The 15029-nt window shown below is 39.1% G+C and overlaps 1 protein-coding gene across 5 annotated transcripts in view, besides 3 other annotated features; it reads left to right on the top strand.

Annotated features, from left to right (window-relative positions):
* Window positions 1-8646: 8646 nt before the first annotated feature.
* The window catches only part of BTLA (B and T lymphocyte associated), a 35659-nt gene continuing 29276 nt past the window's right edge, over window positions 8647-15029 (top strand). For 3 of the 5 annotated variants that reach the window (XM_047447496.1, XM_017005748.3, XM_011512447.4), the window contains exons 1-2: window positions 8647-8699; window positions 8801-9000. In XM_047447496.1, coding sequence (XP_047303452.1) covers window positions 8913-9000 — 88 coding nt within the window. In that variant the 5' untranslated portion in view covers window positions 8647-8699; window positions 8801-8912. Of the gene's footprint in view, window positions 8700-8798; window positions 9001-15029 lie in introns of those variants that run through there. The other 2 variants (NM_001085357.2, NM_181780.4) reach the window with 1 other exon arrangement.
* Window positions 9078-9207: an enhancer, noted in NCBI's record as "active region_20243". NCBI's record gives its function as "activates an Ori minimal core promoter by ATAC-STARR-seq in GM12878 lymphoblastoid cells {active_cell/tissue: GM12878}" and the evidence as "EXISTENCE:reporter gene assay evidence [ECO:0000049][PMID:35858748]".
* Window positions 9298-9347: an enhancer, noted in NCBI's record as "active region_20242". NCBI's record gives its function as "activates an Ori minimal core promoter by ATAC-STARR-seq in GM12878 lymphoblastoid cells {active_cell/tissue: GM12878}" and the evidence as "EXISTENCE:reporter gene assay evidence [ECO:0000049][PMID:35858748]".
* Window positions 10216-10335: an enhancer, noted in NCBI's record as "active region_20241". NCBI's record gives its function as "activates an Ori minimal core promoter by ATAC-STARR-seq in GM12878 lymphoblastoid cells {active_cell/tissue: GM12878}" and the evidence as "EXISTENCE:reporter gene assay evidence [ECO:0000049][PMID:35858748]".

Below are 15029 nucleotides of genomic sequence, written 5' to 3'. Positions count from 1 at the left end.
AGAGTAAAGGCCCACCCAAAGATGTCCACAGCCTAATCCCCAAAATCTAAATAAGTTGCCTCACATGGCAAAGATACTTTCCAGATGTGATTAAGTGATGATCTTGAGATGGAAGCTTATGATAAATATAAAACTCTTCTTCTTCAATCCAAACTTGAAGAATTTGAGCACGTACCTCCATCAGTCTCTCACGAAACTCATATCAAGTTTCATTTTAGACTGGGTTCCCCCAGAAACTATCCCCAATTCAAGGACTTGAGTGTAAGTAGTTTATTTGGAGGTGTTCCTGACATAATAGGGGGTGAAAAGATTAGACAGGAAAGAGAAGGAAGCTACTAATTAGTTTGTTTTCTAGCTGTGGATTACCATTGTTGGATAAGGCACTTAATCCCCACCTCCAGGACTCTGAGAGCCAACATTAAACATACACTTCAGTTATCCCACTCAAGGGCTGAGGGATTTTCCAGATGGGCTCAATCTTATCCTATGGATTCTTCCTTAAAAGTGGAAGAAGGAGGTCATAGTCAGAGAGAAATTTGAAGATACTCTGATGCTGGCTTTGAAGATAAAGGGGACACACCTTCTATTTGCAAAGGGAGGCAAATGGCCTCTAAAAGCTGAAGAGGAAGAGACAAGGAAACATTCTCCCATGGAGCCTTCAGATGCAGCTCTGCTGTCACCTTGAATTTGTCCCAGTACGACCCATTTTGGACTTCTGACTTCCAGAACTGTTGCATAATAAATTTGCATTAAGCCATCACATTTGTGGTGGTTTGTTACAGGAACTCTAAGAAACTAATAAAATGCATAAATGTGCCAACTCTCTCAGCCCTTGAGTGGGATAATTGAAGCCTATTGTTCAGTGTTGGCTCTCAGAGTCCTAGAGGTAGGGATTAAATGCCTTATCCACCAATGGTAACCCACAGCTAGAGAACAAACCAATTAATTGCTTCCTTCTCTTTCCTGTCTAACTCTTTCACCCCTCTACTATGTTAGGAACACCTCCAAATAAACTACTTGCACTCAAATCGTTGAACTGGGGGTTGCTTCTGAGGGAACCCAGTCTAAAACGGAACTAGAGATGAGTGTGGTGAGAGACTGATGTAGGTACATGCTCAATTTCTTCAAGTTTGGATTGAAGAAGAGTTTTATATTTATCATAAGCTTTTCTAGACTCAAGATGCAATAACACAGGGGCAGGTGGGAAGTGGGATGGAAGACTGAAACTCAGGTGGTCATAAAACATAGTCTCTATCTTTATTTCAATGCTTTTTAAAATAAGTGATTGTGTGTGTGTGTGTGTGTGTGTGTGTGTGTGTGACAGAGGGAGAGGTGGCAGCGGGGAGAGCATAAGACTGTGGTGTTCAGATTTCTGTTTTGTGAGTCTCCAGAAATGAATCTTAGGGCCTTCACTGCCATCAAGGACTATCAATCAATCAGGGGATAGACTTTGAGGTAGATACAGTAGGTCTGCTCACTTTACACCAGGGTTTCTCACCTTGCACCGTTGACATTTTGGGCTGGATAATTCTTTGGTGTGAGGTCTCTCCTGTGCATTGTAAGATGTTTAGCAGCATTCCTGGCCTCTACCTACTAGATGCTGATAGCAACCCCACACCAGCTGTGATAAGCAAAAATGTCTCCAAACATTGTCAAATTTCCCTGTGGGATAAAACCACCCTTGTTTCAGAGCCACTCCAACTACTTTTTATCTTCAAATCTTCTGGGACCCTGGAAGCAGGCAAGTTAAAGATCACATTCCCCAGCCTCCCTTGCAATTGGGAGTCTGCATGTGACAGCTTTTGAGCACACAGCTGGGTAAGACTTAGAATATGGTGTGGACATCATGAGGCTTGTGACTTTTCTGATAGCACTGTCATGGAGGTAATTTTTTCCAGAACAGTATGGGTGAAGGTTTAGTTTCTGACTTCATAGGAACTGAGCACAGAGGCAGCAGCATGATTTTTGCTAATGCAACTCTGTTGGATAGTTGGACATTTCTCTTTGCTGTATTACTTCTCACTATATAGCATCTAAGTTCATTTTCTGGCACTTCAAGAAATTTAAAATGACTCCTTTCTCATTAAACTAGTCAGAGACTATTGTAGGAACTAGTCATTTTTATCAGGACTGTATACAGAGTATATCATAATCTAAATTGTGGCTTTGGTTTCATGGAGGAAGTAGGCAGAAAGATACTAAGAGTTTGAATTTTCAGCCTGGAAAGCTAGTGAACCTAGTTATATGGTGTTAAACAATCCTTACATGGCAGAACCCATGCTGACTAAGCCTGAAACATTAACCAAAATGTTAGGATGAAGACGCAGATCAACTCAAACTCGAGGTAGAAGGAATAGGACTTGGCTAAGAGAGGCTGTGGGCCTGTGGTCCACAATCTAAGTAGGCTGAGCCTTCAGTAATTTGGTATCTTGCAGTTAAAAAATTCAACTATGATATTTACTCAATGAATTGAAAACATATGTCTCCCCTAAACATGCACAAAGATGCTTACAGAAGCTTATTCATTATTGCCAAAATCTGGAAGCAACAAAGATGTCCTTCAGTACATAAATGAATAAACTATGGTACATCCAGATAATGGAATGTTATTAAGCACTAAAAAGAAATGAGCTACAAAGCCATGAAAAGATATGAAAGAAACTTACATGTATATTACTAAGTGAAAGAAGCCAACTTGAAAAGGCTGCATTGATTCCAACTATATGACATTCTGGGAAAAGCAATACTATAGAAACAGTGGTTGCCAGGTGTTAGGGTGGAGAGAGGATGATTAGACAGAGCATAAAGGATTCACGGGGCAGTGAAACTGTTCTTTATGTTACTATAACAGTGAATAAATGTCATTATACATCTGTCAAGAGCCATAGAATATACAACATCAAGAGTGAGCCCTAATGTAAACCATGGATTTTGGGTGATGCTGATGTGTTAACATAGATTCATGGATTGTAATAAATGTATTACACTAATGCCAACATTGATGGTGAAGGAGGCTGTGCATGTGTGGGGGCAGGGACTATATGAGAACTCAGTACTTTCCACTCAATTTTGCTGTGAAAGCCACCCTAAAAAATAAAATTTTTTTATTTTACCAGCTGCTTCCTTACCCCAATTGTAAAACTGTAGCCTTAGAAGGCGGATAAGTTTCTGACCCCAAGTTCTCTTACAAAAAGTTCTATAAGAGTTCTTTGCCTGACAGTGGGAACTCGCTCATAAAGAGAAGATTAAGAATTGCCTTTCTACCAAGTCCTATTTTAAATAGTCTCAGGATAGCTATCATTATAATGTGAACTGGAGGCTGGGCAGAGCATAATGGCTAGTAAGTCTCTTTGGCTCGAAAAATCCATGACTGCACAAGTTCTTTAACTGCGGTTATTTGTGCACAAAACTTACTGAAAGAGAATAGACAGAAATCCTACCAGATGTTTGAGAGAACTCTACGACTATTTTATAATAGACTATGTTAAACACCAAAACTCTACCTGGACCCTAACTTGCACAACCAGGAAATAGAATGATGAAGCTGTGTATCCCCCAAAGCCATCTTCTCTAATGCCCACCTCAGCTGTGATCATCAAGGAAAGAGAGCTAGTGTAGTGGAAGCTATGGATGCACCATTCAGATCCTCTTCAGGACTGAAGAATTTATTTCCCCAAACTGTGGGGAGTGTTCCTGGCTAAGAGCCCTCAGCCTTCAGTCTTGTATGGGAATTTTCCACTGCTGAAGAGAAGTTCTTTACCCAAAAGCAAATCCCCTTTCCTGGAGACAGCCTGCATCCAATTACTGGTCATTGCAGGTATATAAAGTCCCAACCTCCTTGGCCAAACTCAAAACTATAAAGGATCAACTCAGCTTCAGACCTTCTTCTGCTTTGCTGAGGCCTTTGCTGAGACTGTATCACATCCTGATGTCTCCCTTTACTCTCTGCTGAATTCGGTTCTCTTTTCTGCCTCCACGCTTAATGATTCCCAGTGCACACCCTAATAAACTTCCTGCACACTAGTCTCTGCCTCAGATTCTGCTTCCCATTGAGCTTTATTTTCAAAAACTAGAAAGACCTTCCAAGGATCAGAGGCTGGGGCTATTGCGTGGGCAAATTAAAAAACTTCACCCACTGCTGCAGCAGGGCACCCTGGCTATTGACCAGTGGCTACCTATGTTTCTTCTATTCCCTTTTCTGAATAGGAACGTGTGTGTGTGTGTCTATGTATTATTTCCCTAACAACTGAAAATTAGTCATATTGACATTTTTTGCCCTTAGCTTAAAGTAGCTTTCTAATAGGGACCATTGATGCACCATGGCCTGGAAAACATCTTTGCAGAAACTTATGTGACTATCTTCTTCCATTTGTGCTGGTAAGACAATATACTTTAAACAGTAATTTTTGTTTGTTGTTTGTTCCTTTGTTTTTAAAGACAGTGTCTTGCTCTGTCACCCAGACTAGAGAGCAGTGGCACAATCATAGCTCACTATAAAAGCTGAGTAATTTAGAAAGAAGAGAAATATATATCTCACAGTTCTGAAGAGTGGGAGGTCCAAGATCAAGGTTCCAGCAGATACAGTATCTGGTGAGGGTTGCTCTCTGCTTCCAGAATGGTGCCTTCTTATTGCCTCCTGACAGCAAGGTGGAAGGGGGCAAAAAGGGATGAATGCTGTGTCCTCACATGGTAGAAGAGATGGACGTGCAGGCAGCTCTCCGAAGCCTTTTTTAGAGATGGGGTCTTACTCCATTGCCCAGGCTGGAGTGCAGTGGTACCATTGTAACTCATTGCAGCCTTGAACTCCTGGGCTCAAATGATCCTCCTGCCTTAGCGTCCCAAGTAGATGGAACTACAAGCACATACCACCATATCCAGCTAAGTTTTGAAGTTTCTTGTAGATACAGGGTTTTACTATGTTGCCCAGGTTAGTTTTGAACTTCTGGCCTCAAGCGATCTTCCTGACTTGGCCTCACAAAGTTTGGGATTACAGACGTGAGCCACAGCACCCAGCCTGAAGGCTCTTTCATATGGACATTAACTCCCTTCATGAGGGCAGAGCCCTCATGACCTAATCACATTCCAAAAGCCCCTATCTCTTAATGCCATCATTTTAGGGGTTAAGTTCTAACATAGGAATTTCAAGGAGACACCCACACTCAAACCATAGCAGTTTTTATCAAAATGGGCTAAATATTATTCAATTGGAATTGATTACTGTTATATAAGAATTTGAACTATGAATACTCTATTCTTTCTTCATGTGGGGAGACCAATTGTCCTAAAAGTGAGGCTTCCTCACTTTATTATGTTTTATTATTACAAATAATACTTCACTCAACAATCAAACATTTCTTATGAAAATTTTTTAAACACTATCATGGAAATGTTGGGTGCATATTACTTGATTTTTAGTTCATAAGACATGGAACTATGAGATGCTACATATAGACCTAAGGCCCCTTTGCGAATGTTTTTTAATTTGGACCATCTTTAAGCTACACCATTCCTCTCCTAATCGAAGCTTTATTACGGCATTTACTTTAGAGTCTTGATCTCTATGCAACAATGACTCCCATTAGCAAGTATTTTCAACTTGCTCCATTTTCAACTTGTTCCACCATCATTAAATTTTGGCTTATTAATACAGGGCTTCTTGGTTCCAGAATGATTATAGTTGCAATTTACTGATTACCCTGCATATATCACCTCAGTTAACCAACAAAACAGATAGGTATTGTTACTATGTTTTAAAGAACTGGAAAATGAAATGTGGAGCAGATTTGGTTCTCTGGAAGCAAACATAGATAGATTAGGGATCAACAACTGTGAAAGGAAGGGATCAGAGGAAGAAACTGTGATGTAGGCCTAATATACCCTTGGCAACTCAGTTGGGAGCTCTGAATCAAGTATTGCCCATCAGCTTCCCATGTCAGCTCAAAATGGCCAGAAATCTGTACACTTTCCTTGCTCCATCATTGGATGCAAGCTGTCATGGGAAAGCATGACCTTGGTCAAGATGTGTCTCAACTGAGCAGACCTGGGAGAAGTTTACAGTTGGATGTACTCTGCCTATTGCATTCCCCCCATCTAAGAGCAAACACATCCTTGAAGGGGGATCTGAGAAGTGCATTTCTGTGTCTACTACAGACTCTAAGAACGTAGAAAATCTATGAAAGCTTCTATAGCTAATAACTGAAAAAGCTTTGATACCACATGTGTGATTCAAAAGCTTATATCCCCTGCCAACTCATAATTGGTTTCTAAATATTCCTTCAAACTAGTATATCAAAATCACCTTTGGAGCTTTCTGAAAATGGGGATATCTGGCCTTCATCTTGTGAGATTCTGATTCAATGGAAATGGATAGGATTAAAAAATTCCACCAATTTTATAAAAAGTGTCCAGGTTGATTATAGAACACAGTAATGTATAGAAACTATTGCTTACAATAACATTAGTGAAAAAATGATATCAAATAGAAAAATGTCAAAGATTTTAAATGCTGGACTACTTTTACAGTAAAGCTATGGAATGTTTTTGGGGAAAGTTAAAAAGATCAGTACCAAGATTCATCTCTTTGGGGTTGTCTAACATCAGGGGCAAGACTTTTCCAGGATCCTGTGTCATGTTTTGTGATTGCTGGTTCTCTGATCACCTGGGGGAAAAATATTGCAGAAAGTATAGCTGCTTCATCATTCATGAAAGCAACTGAGTCTGCAAGTGAACTGAAAAATTTGCCCTCCAAGTAGTTCCTGAGATGTTTGTAAAGAGAGTTTGAAGATACTAAATTCTATTTCCTTTTTGTCTTTCAACATAAAACTGATTAGACGTTCATGTTTTTAAAATTGTTTCAATATGTAATGCCATCGCTTTCAAGAATGTAGTAAACTCTTTAAATTTGCAAATATAAATGAAAATTGTAATTTTTGGATCAAACAATATACATAATTATGATGGGATTACAAAAGTTATAAGCTTAAGGCAAGATTGACTTGTTACTGAGCTAATTAATTTCTGAGTCTGGCTTCTTTCCTTTTTTTTTTTTTTTTTTTAACTAGAACGAAGACAGGAGTGAGATTCAGAGGCAGGGTTTTATCTACAGTGGGACACTCAGGACTCTACCTGTGGAGGGATAAAGTGCTAGGCATGCTAATAAAAGCAAGAAATATATAAATCTTTTAAAAATACATTAGATGCTACATAAGATTTTTTCCGAATTTTGTCTAATTAGCATGGACTTTTTATATGAAAAATATTTAAAATAGTGACATAACAGTTTTAAGCTGAGATAAAGTTAATATGATCTCTCTCTGGTTTGGGCTTATGTAACCCATAAGCCATAAGGTTATGGCTTTTGACCTGTGGGCCATTTTAAAGGGACAATGAGCCTTGCTTCAGCTGCCTCAAGAAGCTTTTACTCACTGTGAACACAGGAAAAGGAAGGAGCTGTGAAAATACTGCCTTAATATTTCCCAGGATGTTTATTTGATTAGTAACAGAAATTCTAAAAGGCTATGTGTACCCTCTCTGTATTATACTATATTATAAGACCAACACTAAAGGTGGATGTGAGGAAGTCGTAATACTGATTGAACGAGTTCTTTAAAATCAGCAATAGCAACTCATTCATCATTCATCTCCAACCATAGCACATTGTCTATTTGACTCAATAAATACATGATAACTGTTTTTTAATTTTAATTTACCCTTGGCAACTCAACTGGGAGCTCTGAATTAAGTATTGCCCATCAGTTTCCCATGTCAGGTCAAAATGTCCAGCAATCTATACACTTTCCTTGCTCTTAAAACTTTCCTTGAACTTAAAACTATTGAAGTTTGGCCTTGGAATAAAATCATCAGTCTCTGAGGAAAAAACTTATATAATCGACTTCTGTCAATGATCACTAATGCCACAAATCTAGATCTCTCATTTGGAGTCTCAAATGGCAGATGAATTTGATTAGCTCCTATGACTATAAGCTAAGCTAATTATTACAAGTGGATGTGGAGAAAACAGTCCTATGGTGGCCTGTGCTATCTGATCTTGAACTTTTCCATTTCTTCCTTTACTGTTTCTATTCTACTTCATCGAGACAACAACTGCATGAAGAATGTTTAAAATGGAAATTTCCTTTAATTGATATTCAAGATCTCCTTTAGATTAGAACTTTATTATCTAGAGAGAACATGTAGCCAATATTAATGATGATCTTGTTCCATTGATATGTATCCACAGATTAAAGACGGCTGCTCTTCCTTCTTCTGTTGAGGAAGTGCTTCCTGTCACTCATTTTCTCCATAACCTGAGATAAATCTTCACTGGTTTAATGACAATAAGCATCCTCATCTTACCGTGACATGTACAGGAAAAAAAAGAAACCTAAAATCTTTTACATAAAAGAAGTTTCATAATCACAAGCTATCACAAAGGGGAAAATGTATACTTACCATTGATAGTTTTACCATAAATTTCCTGACCTTAATTTGATTAAAATCTCAACTTAAAGACTGCAACAATACAGATTTCTTTAAAGTTTAATTGCTCATTTCACTGAACATTGAGTGCAGGAAAAACCTCAACCTGGGGCAAAAACGTGGTAGAGCGGAAGGAGAAGTTAAGGACTGAGCTGCTTTGCAGATCACAGTGTTTGAAAGTGAACAGCCAACCTGACAAGAAGCAAAAACCACAGAACAGAGTACCACATCGTCTTTCTGTTCACTTTTTTTCACAAAATCATCCAGGCTCTTCCTACTCTCCTCTCTTACCACCTCTCTCTTCTTTTTTTTTTTTTTTTAGTTATTTCACAGATGCCACTGGGGTAGGTAAACTGACCCAACTCTGCAGCACTCAGAAGACGAAGCAAAGCCTTCTACTTGAGCAGTTTTTCCATCACTGATATGTGCAGGAAATGAAGACATTGCCTGCCATGCTTGGAACTGGGAAATTATTTTGGGTCTTCTTCTTAATCCCATATCTGGACATCTGGAACATCCATGGTAAGGCACCTGCTTAGGTTATTTCTGGTTTTATTTCTCAGGGGGTCTTGGAGGCAACATTCTCCCTTGCTGAACTTAGTACGGTGTAACGTTTATACGAAGTGGGTAATCGTAGATGAAACCAAGCTGTTACATTTGCTTACCGAAGACATCGTAGAGCATAAACCAAATTAGAACATAGTATTCACCTGCCTAATCATAGGCATCGCATCAATAGCTTGGCTGACTTTCTTAAAAACATGTTGATGGTAGGAAAAGAGAACTGAGTAGATGTTATAAATAGTTAAGTACAAATCTATCACTACTTCTTGCAAAAATGCTCTGGCTGCCATACTGATAATGAATAGATAGCTCGTTCTTTCCAAACTGAGTGCAGTAGAGTGCTGCAGTGCTCAGTTGGGTAGGACAGTTGTTGGATAATCGGAATTATACATATCTCCATGGTTACCCTCAAATAATATTACCTCTAAATAAAATCTCTATACTTGCTTCATTGGGATGTATGCCTTGAGAATACCGATTGAGAAAATGCTACAAAATATAGGAGCAGAACTTTTCGTCATTGCTTCTATTTTGTTGAAAGGGAATGGTTCCTACTTGGTTGTCAATTGAACACAGAAAATAAGTTGGATTCTGCAAAGATGATATTTAGCCACCCCTGCAAAGACTTTATACAGGCAAAAAAAAAAAAAAAAAAAAAAAGGCAATTTCTTTTTTATTGTAAAGTCGCTTCCTACCTTATATTGCATAGGAACCCACATATTATCAAGAGGAAAAGCCTATGAGTGGCTCATCAGAAGCTTCTGATTTTTCAGGTTTTATTTTTTTATTTTTTTGAGACAAGAGTTTTGCTCTCGTCACCCAGGCTGGAGTGCAATGGCGTGATCCCGCCTCACTGCATCCTCTGCCTCCCGGGTTCAATCGATTCTTCTTCCTCCCGGGTTCAATTTATTCTCCTGCCTCAGCGTCCCTAGTAGCTGGGATTACAGGCACCTTCCACCACGCACAGCTAATTTTTGTATTTTTAGTAGAGATGTTGGATAACCCCAATTATCCAACATCTGTCCTACCCAACTGAGCACTGCAACACTCTACTGCACTCAGTTTGGGAAGAACGAGCTATCTATTCATCATCAGTGTGGCAGCCTGAGCATTTTCGCAAGAAGTAGTGATAGATTTGTACTTAACTATTTATAACATCTACTCAGTTCTCTTTTCTTGCCATCAACCTGTTTTTTAAGAAAGTCAGCCAAGCTATGGATGCAATGCATGTTGGGCAGGCTGGTCTGGAGCTCCTGACCTCAAGTGATCCACCTGCCTCAGCCTCCCAAAGTGCTAGGATTACAGGTATGAGCCACCATGCCCAGTGATTTTTCAGGTTTTAAATATTCTGTCTTATTATTCCCTACAAGCACACATTTATCAGTTTGGCTACTGCAATTTTAAATTAGAAAATCTGGCCACTGAGGTTCTATGGAAAGTCTATCTATAATTTTAAACTGTGTAGTTTGGAATATGTCTCTATGATGCCAGGATGCCACACAACCAAGTGCAAAGTAAAAAAGTCCTTAGTTACTCAAACATCTTTATGTTTGTAAGTATCTAGTATTAAGTCAACTAGGTGCTTAGATGGTTGACTGAATTTTCCACCTTCCATCAGATGCCTACAGTCACATAGCTACAACTGGAGTCAAATATTATTAAATAGATTTCTTCCCCATTTGAAGGATACATAAACTACTCTCTATGAAATTAAGAACAATGAGTTTCAGTGCTAAACCACATTGATGGTGGGGTAAGACCTTTATTTCTCCCAATGTGCAACCTAGCATTTGCAAAAGTGAACTTGGCTGTTAGAACTGGGTTAATTTACTGGCTCTGCCACTTACTGTATGGCATTGATTAAGTCTCTTCTCTTCTCTTTAGTTTCCTCATTTGTACAATACAGGTAATAATTGTACCTAAATTATGGGGCTGCTGTGAAGACTGTAGATGCAATAATATGGGTAAAGTGCCTCGCATAGTAAGTGCACGTATTTAAAGCTCAGTAAATGTTAGTGGTATTTTTCCTAAATTATTTTCACCATGCAACCTCTATGTAATTAAATGAGAATTATGTTTTAACATTATTATTTAAAATAGTTGAGTTTTTAAAGTTAAAAATAAAATAAATAAGTACAATATATTTTGCAATATATTTAGCCCAAAATATAGTGAATCAAATTATTCAGAAAATGAAATATGGCTGGGAGCCATGGCCCTAGCCTTTAGTCTCAGCACTTTGGGAAGCCAAGACGGGCAGATCACCTGAGGTCAGGAGTTTAAGACCAGACTGGTCAACATGGTGAAACCCCGTCTCTACTAAAAATATAAAAATTTGCTGGGTGTGTTGGGAGGTGCCTGTAGTCCCAGCTACTCGGGAGGCCGAGACAGGAGAATAGCTTGAACCCAGGAGGCAGAGGTTGCAGTGAGCTGAGATCACACCACTGCACTCAAAAAAAAAAGGGAAAGACTTGAGTGAAGTACTGGTCAGATATATACCAGTTGATATAATGGATTGCAGCAGCAGTTGCATTAAATTAAAGCTATAGGTTAAGAGAAGGAACATTTGGTGAAATTTGTTCTCCCAGGCAGAGCTGATGGCTCCATTTCTTAAAACCACATTAAATACCTTATATCTTGGGGATTTCCTGTGATTTACTTAATTGCTGAGTTCTTTACAGTAATACATTTTCAGTGTTTAAAGATAGCCTTTGAAGATTTTTTCCCCCTACTTCAAAGCAATGTGAGATCCGTGTCCTTGTTCCTAGGAGTGAGGCTGCATATATAATAAGGCTGGAAAAAATGTAATGTTCTCTACAAACTTCCTGTTTAAGGTCCTTCTTTATTACAAAAGTATGCTTGCTTACTTTTTGTGTTTCTCTAAAAAATTAGAGAAACTTGCCCCTCAGTGTGTGGCATACAGTTTCTGTCCTGATAGAAGTAATAAAAATGTCAATATCTTCCCTTCATGGGCAGATCATGCTGGCAAGATCTAGACTGCAAGTGGAAGTGTCTCTGTCCATTGCCTGCCCTGTCATCCTGGACCATTTGTCTGAGGCTGCCCTAGACCCTAGTTCAGTTGAGGATCAACCAAGGATTCCACTTTTAGGCAGGCAGGAACACTGCAGTTAATGTCTGGGTATCACCAACACCATATATGATGCAGAATAAAGGCAGTTGGAACTGTTTGATTGATTACTGGTTATTGTGATTTTTAAAAAAAGCAATCCTAGTCTGGTTCAGTAAGGGAAAGACACCTGTATTCTGGCTCTTTTGAGAATACAGTGGTTAGGGCTATGTCTCCATTTTGGTCTGGCTTGTGTCATTTTTTTCCCTTTATTATGATGGTCCAGTATGGTCCATGGACCAGCTTTTAAACACCGTGTTCCACATCCCACACAGATTGTTTTGCTCTACTACAAACTGGCCATATCTTTGGGTCAAAAAATATCATTCCTTGAAGTTCAGGTTTTGTAGCACAGTATCTTTATAAGGCATATTTCTATGGCTTCAGCTATTTGTTCTTATTGAAATGTGCATATGGAGGAATGCTAGAGATAGAGCTCTGTCTTCTGCCAAGTGCCTATGTATTGTTACAACAATGCCTGCCATATATTAAATAAATGTTTAGGAATGCATTCTGTGGTTACAGGACTTCTTGAATTAAAGCATGAAAAGATTAACCTTGTGCTCATTGCAGCCTTGAATATACTTTTCCTATCACAGAGAAGTTTTTAAATTTCTTGCTTCCTCTGTCCTACTACCAAAGTTTCCTCTATTGTAAAGTTGACGTCAAAACTATTTATCTTGCCTCATTGGGACTTTCCTACTTAATTTCCATTATTTGTGAGTTTCATCTTTATGTAGAGTTCAGAATTGTTAAAAGAAAAATATTTACAGGCATTTGTAATCAGGTCCAAAAAATAATCATTTTCTTTTTTCCTTGGAGAAGCTGTGTGGTATAGTGGCTAAGATCAGGGACTCTAAAGCCAGACTCCATGGATTAGTATCCTATGTCTGCCATTTAATGGTTTTGTGACTATAAAATCTCTGGTTCTCAGTTTTCTCATCTAAAAAAATGGGAGAATAATCTTATAAGGTTGTTGTGACTATTAAGTGAATTAATTCTGTAAAACACTTAGAATAGTGCATGGCATGCCATTCAGTGCTGTGTATATTTAGCTAATTTTTTTTCTTTTAGTCCAACATTTCATTAGTTTAATAGTCCTGTTAAAGTAACATTGGGTGACAATTGGGAATCAACCACAAATAAAAATTTGGAGTTCACAAAAGTCTTCTATAAATTACTCTTGATATTATTATCTACTCTTTTTTTTCTTTATTTCTTCTAAAAAAGGAAAACAGGATACATGTGCAGAAATGTACAGGTTTGTTACATAGGTATACGTGTGCCATGATGGTTTGCTTAACCTATTGACCCATCCTCTAAGTTCCCTCTCCTCTCCCCCTACTCCCCAACAGGCTCTGGTTTGTGTTATTCCCCTCTCTGTGTCCATATATTCTCATTTTCAACTTCCACTTATGAGTGAGAACATGCAGTGTTTGGTTTTCTGTTCCTGTGTTAGTTTGCTTAGGATGATGGCTTCCAGCTTCATCCATGTCCCTGCAAAGGGCATGATCTCATTCTTTTTTATGGCTGCATAGTATTCCACGGTGTATATGTACCATATTTTCTTTTTCCAGTCTATCATTGATGGGCATTTGGGTTGGTTCCGTGTCTTTGCTATTGTAAATAGTGCTGCAATAAACATACGTGTGCATGTGTCTTTATAGTAGAATGATTTATATTCCTTTGAGTATATACCCAGTAACGGGATTGCTGGGTCAAATGGTATTTCTGGTTCTAGATCGAGGAATTGCCATACTGTCTTCCACAATGGTTGAACTAATTTACACTCCCACCAACCGTGTAAAAGCATTCCTAATTCTCCACAGACTTGCCAGCACCTATTGTTTCCTGACTTTTTAATAATCACCATTCTGACTGGCGTGAGATGTTATCTCCTTGTGGTTTTGATTTACATTTCTCTGACCATCAGTGATGTTGAGCTTTTATTCTTATGTTTGTTGGTGGCATAAATGTCTTCTTTTTTTTTTTGAGATAGAGTGTCGCTCTGTCGCCCAGGCTGGAGTGCAGTGGCGCAATCTCCGCTCACTGCAAGCTCTGCCTCCCGGGCTCATGCCATTCTCCTAACTCAGCCTCCCGAGTAGCTGGGACTACAGGCGGCTGCCACCACGCCTGGCTAATTTTTTGTATTTTTAGTACAGAAGGTTTCACCGTGTTAGTCAGGATGGTCTTGATCTCCTGACCTCATGATCCACCTGTCTCGGCCTCCCAAAGTGCTGGGATTACAGGCGTGAGCCACCGCGCCCAGCCAGTGTCTTCTTTTGAGAAGTGTCTGTTTAGGCTGGGTGTAGTGGCTCTCGCCTGTAATCCCAGCACTTCAGGAAGCTGAGGAGGGCGGGTCATTTGAGGTCAGGAGTTCAAGAGCAGTCTGGCCAGCATAGTGAAACCCTGTCTGTACTAAAAATACAAAAATTAGCTGGGCGTGGTGGGACACGCCTGTAAGACCAGCTACTTGGGAGGCTGAGGCAGAATTGCTTGAACCCAGGAGACTGAAGTTGCAGTGAGCCAGGTTGCACCACTGCACTCCAGCTGGGTAACAGAGTGAGACTCTGTCTCCAAAAAAAAACAGAGAGAACTGTGTGTTCATATCCTTTGCCCACTTTTTGATGCGGTTGTTTGTTTTTTTCTTGTAAACTTATTTAAGTTTCTTGTAAATTCTGGATATTAGGCCTTTTTCAGATGGGTAGATTGCAAAAATTTTCTCCCATTCTGTAGGTTGCCTTTTTGCTCTGATGAGAGTTTCTTTTGCTGTGCAGAAGTTCTTCAGTTTGTTGCAATTGCTTTTGGCATTTATGTCATGAAGACTTTGTGAGAAAAATGCCAAAAGCATTATCTACTC

The sequence above is a fragment of the Homo sapiens genome, chromosome 3, assembly GCF_000001405.40.
Source record: "Homo sapiens chromosome 3, GRCh38.p14 Primary Assembly".
In the NCBI taxonomy this organism is placed as follows: domain Eukaryota; kingdom Metazoa; phylum Chordata; class Mammalia; order Primates; family Hominidae; genus Homo; species Homo sapiens.
Note: the sequence above shows the minus strand (reverse complement) of the source record. Positions and strands in the feature narration are given on the sequence as shown.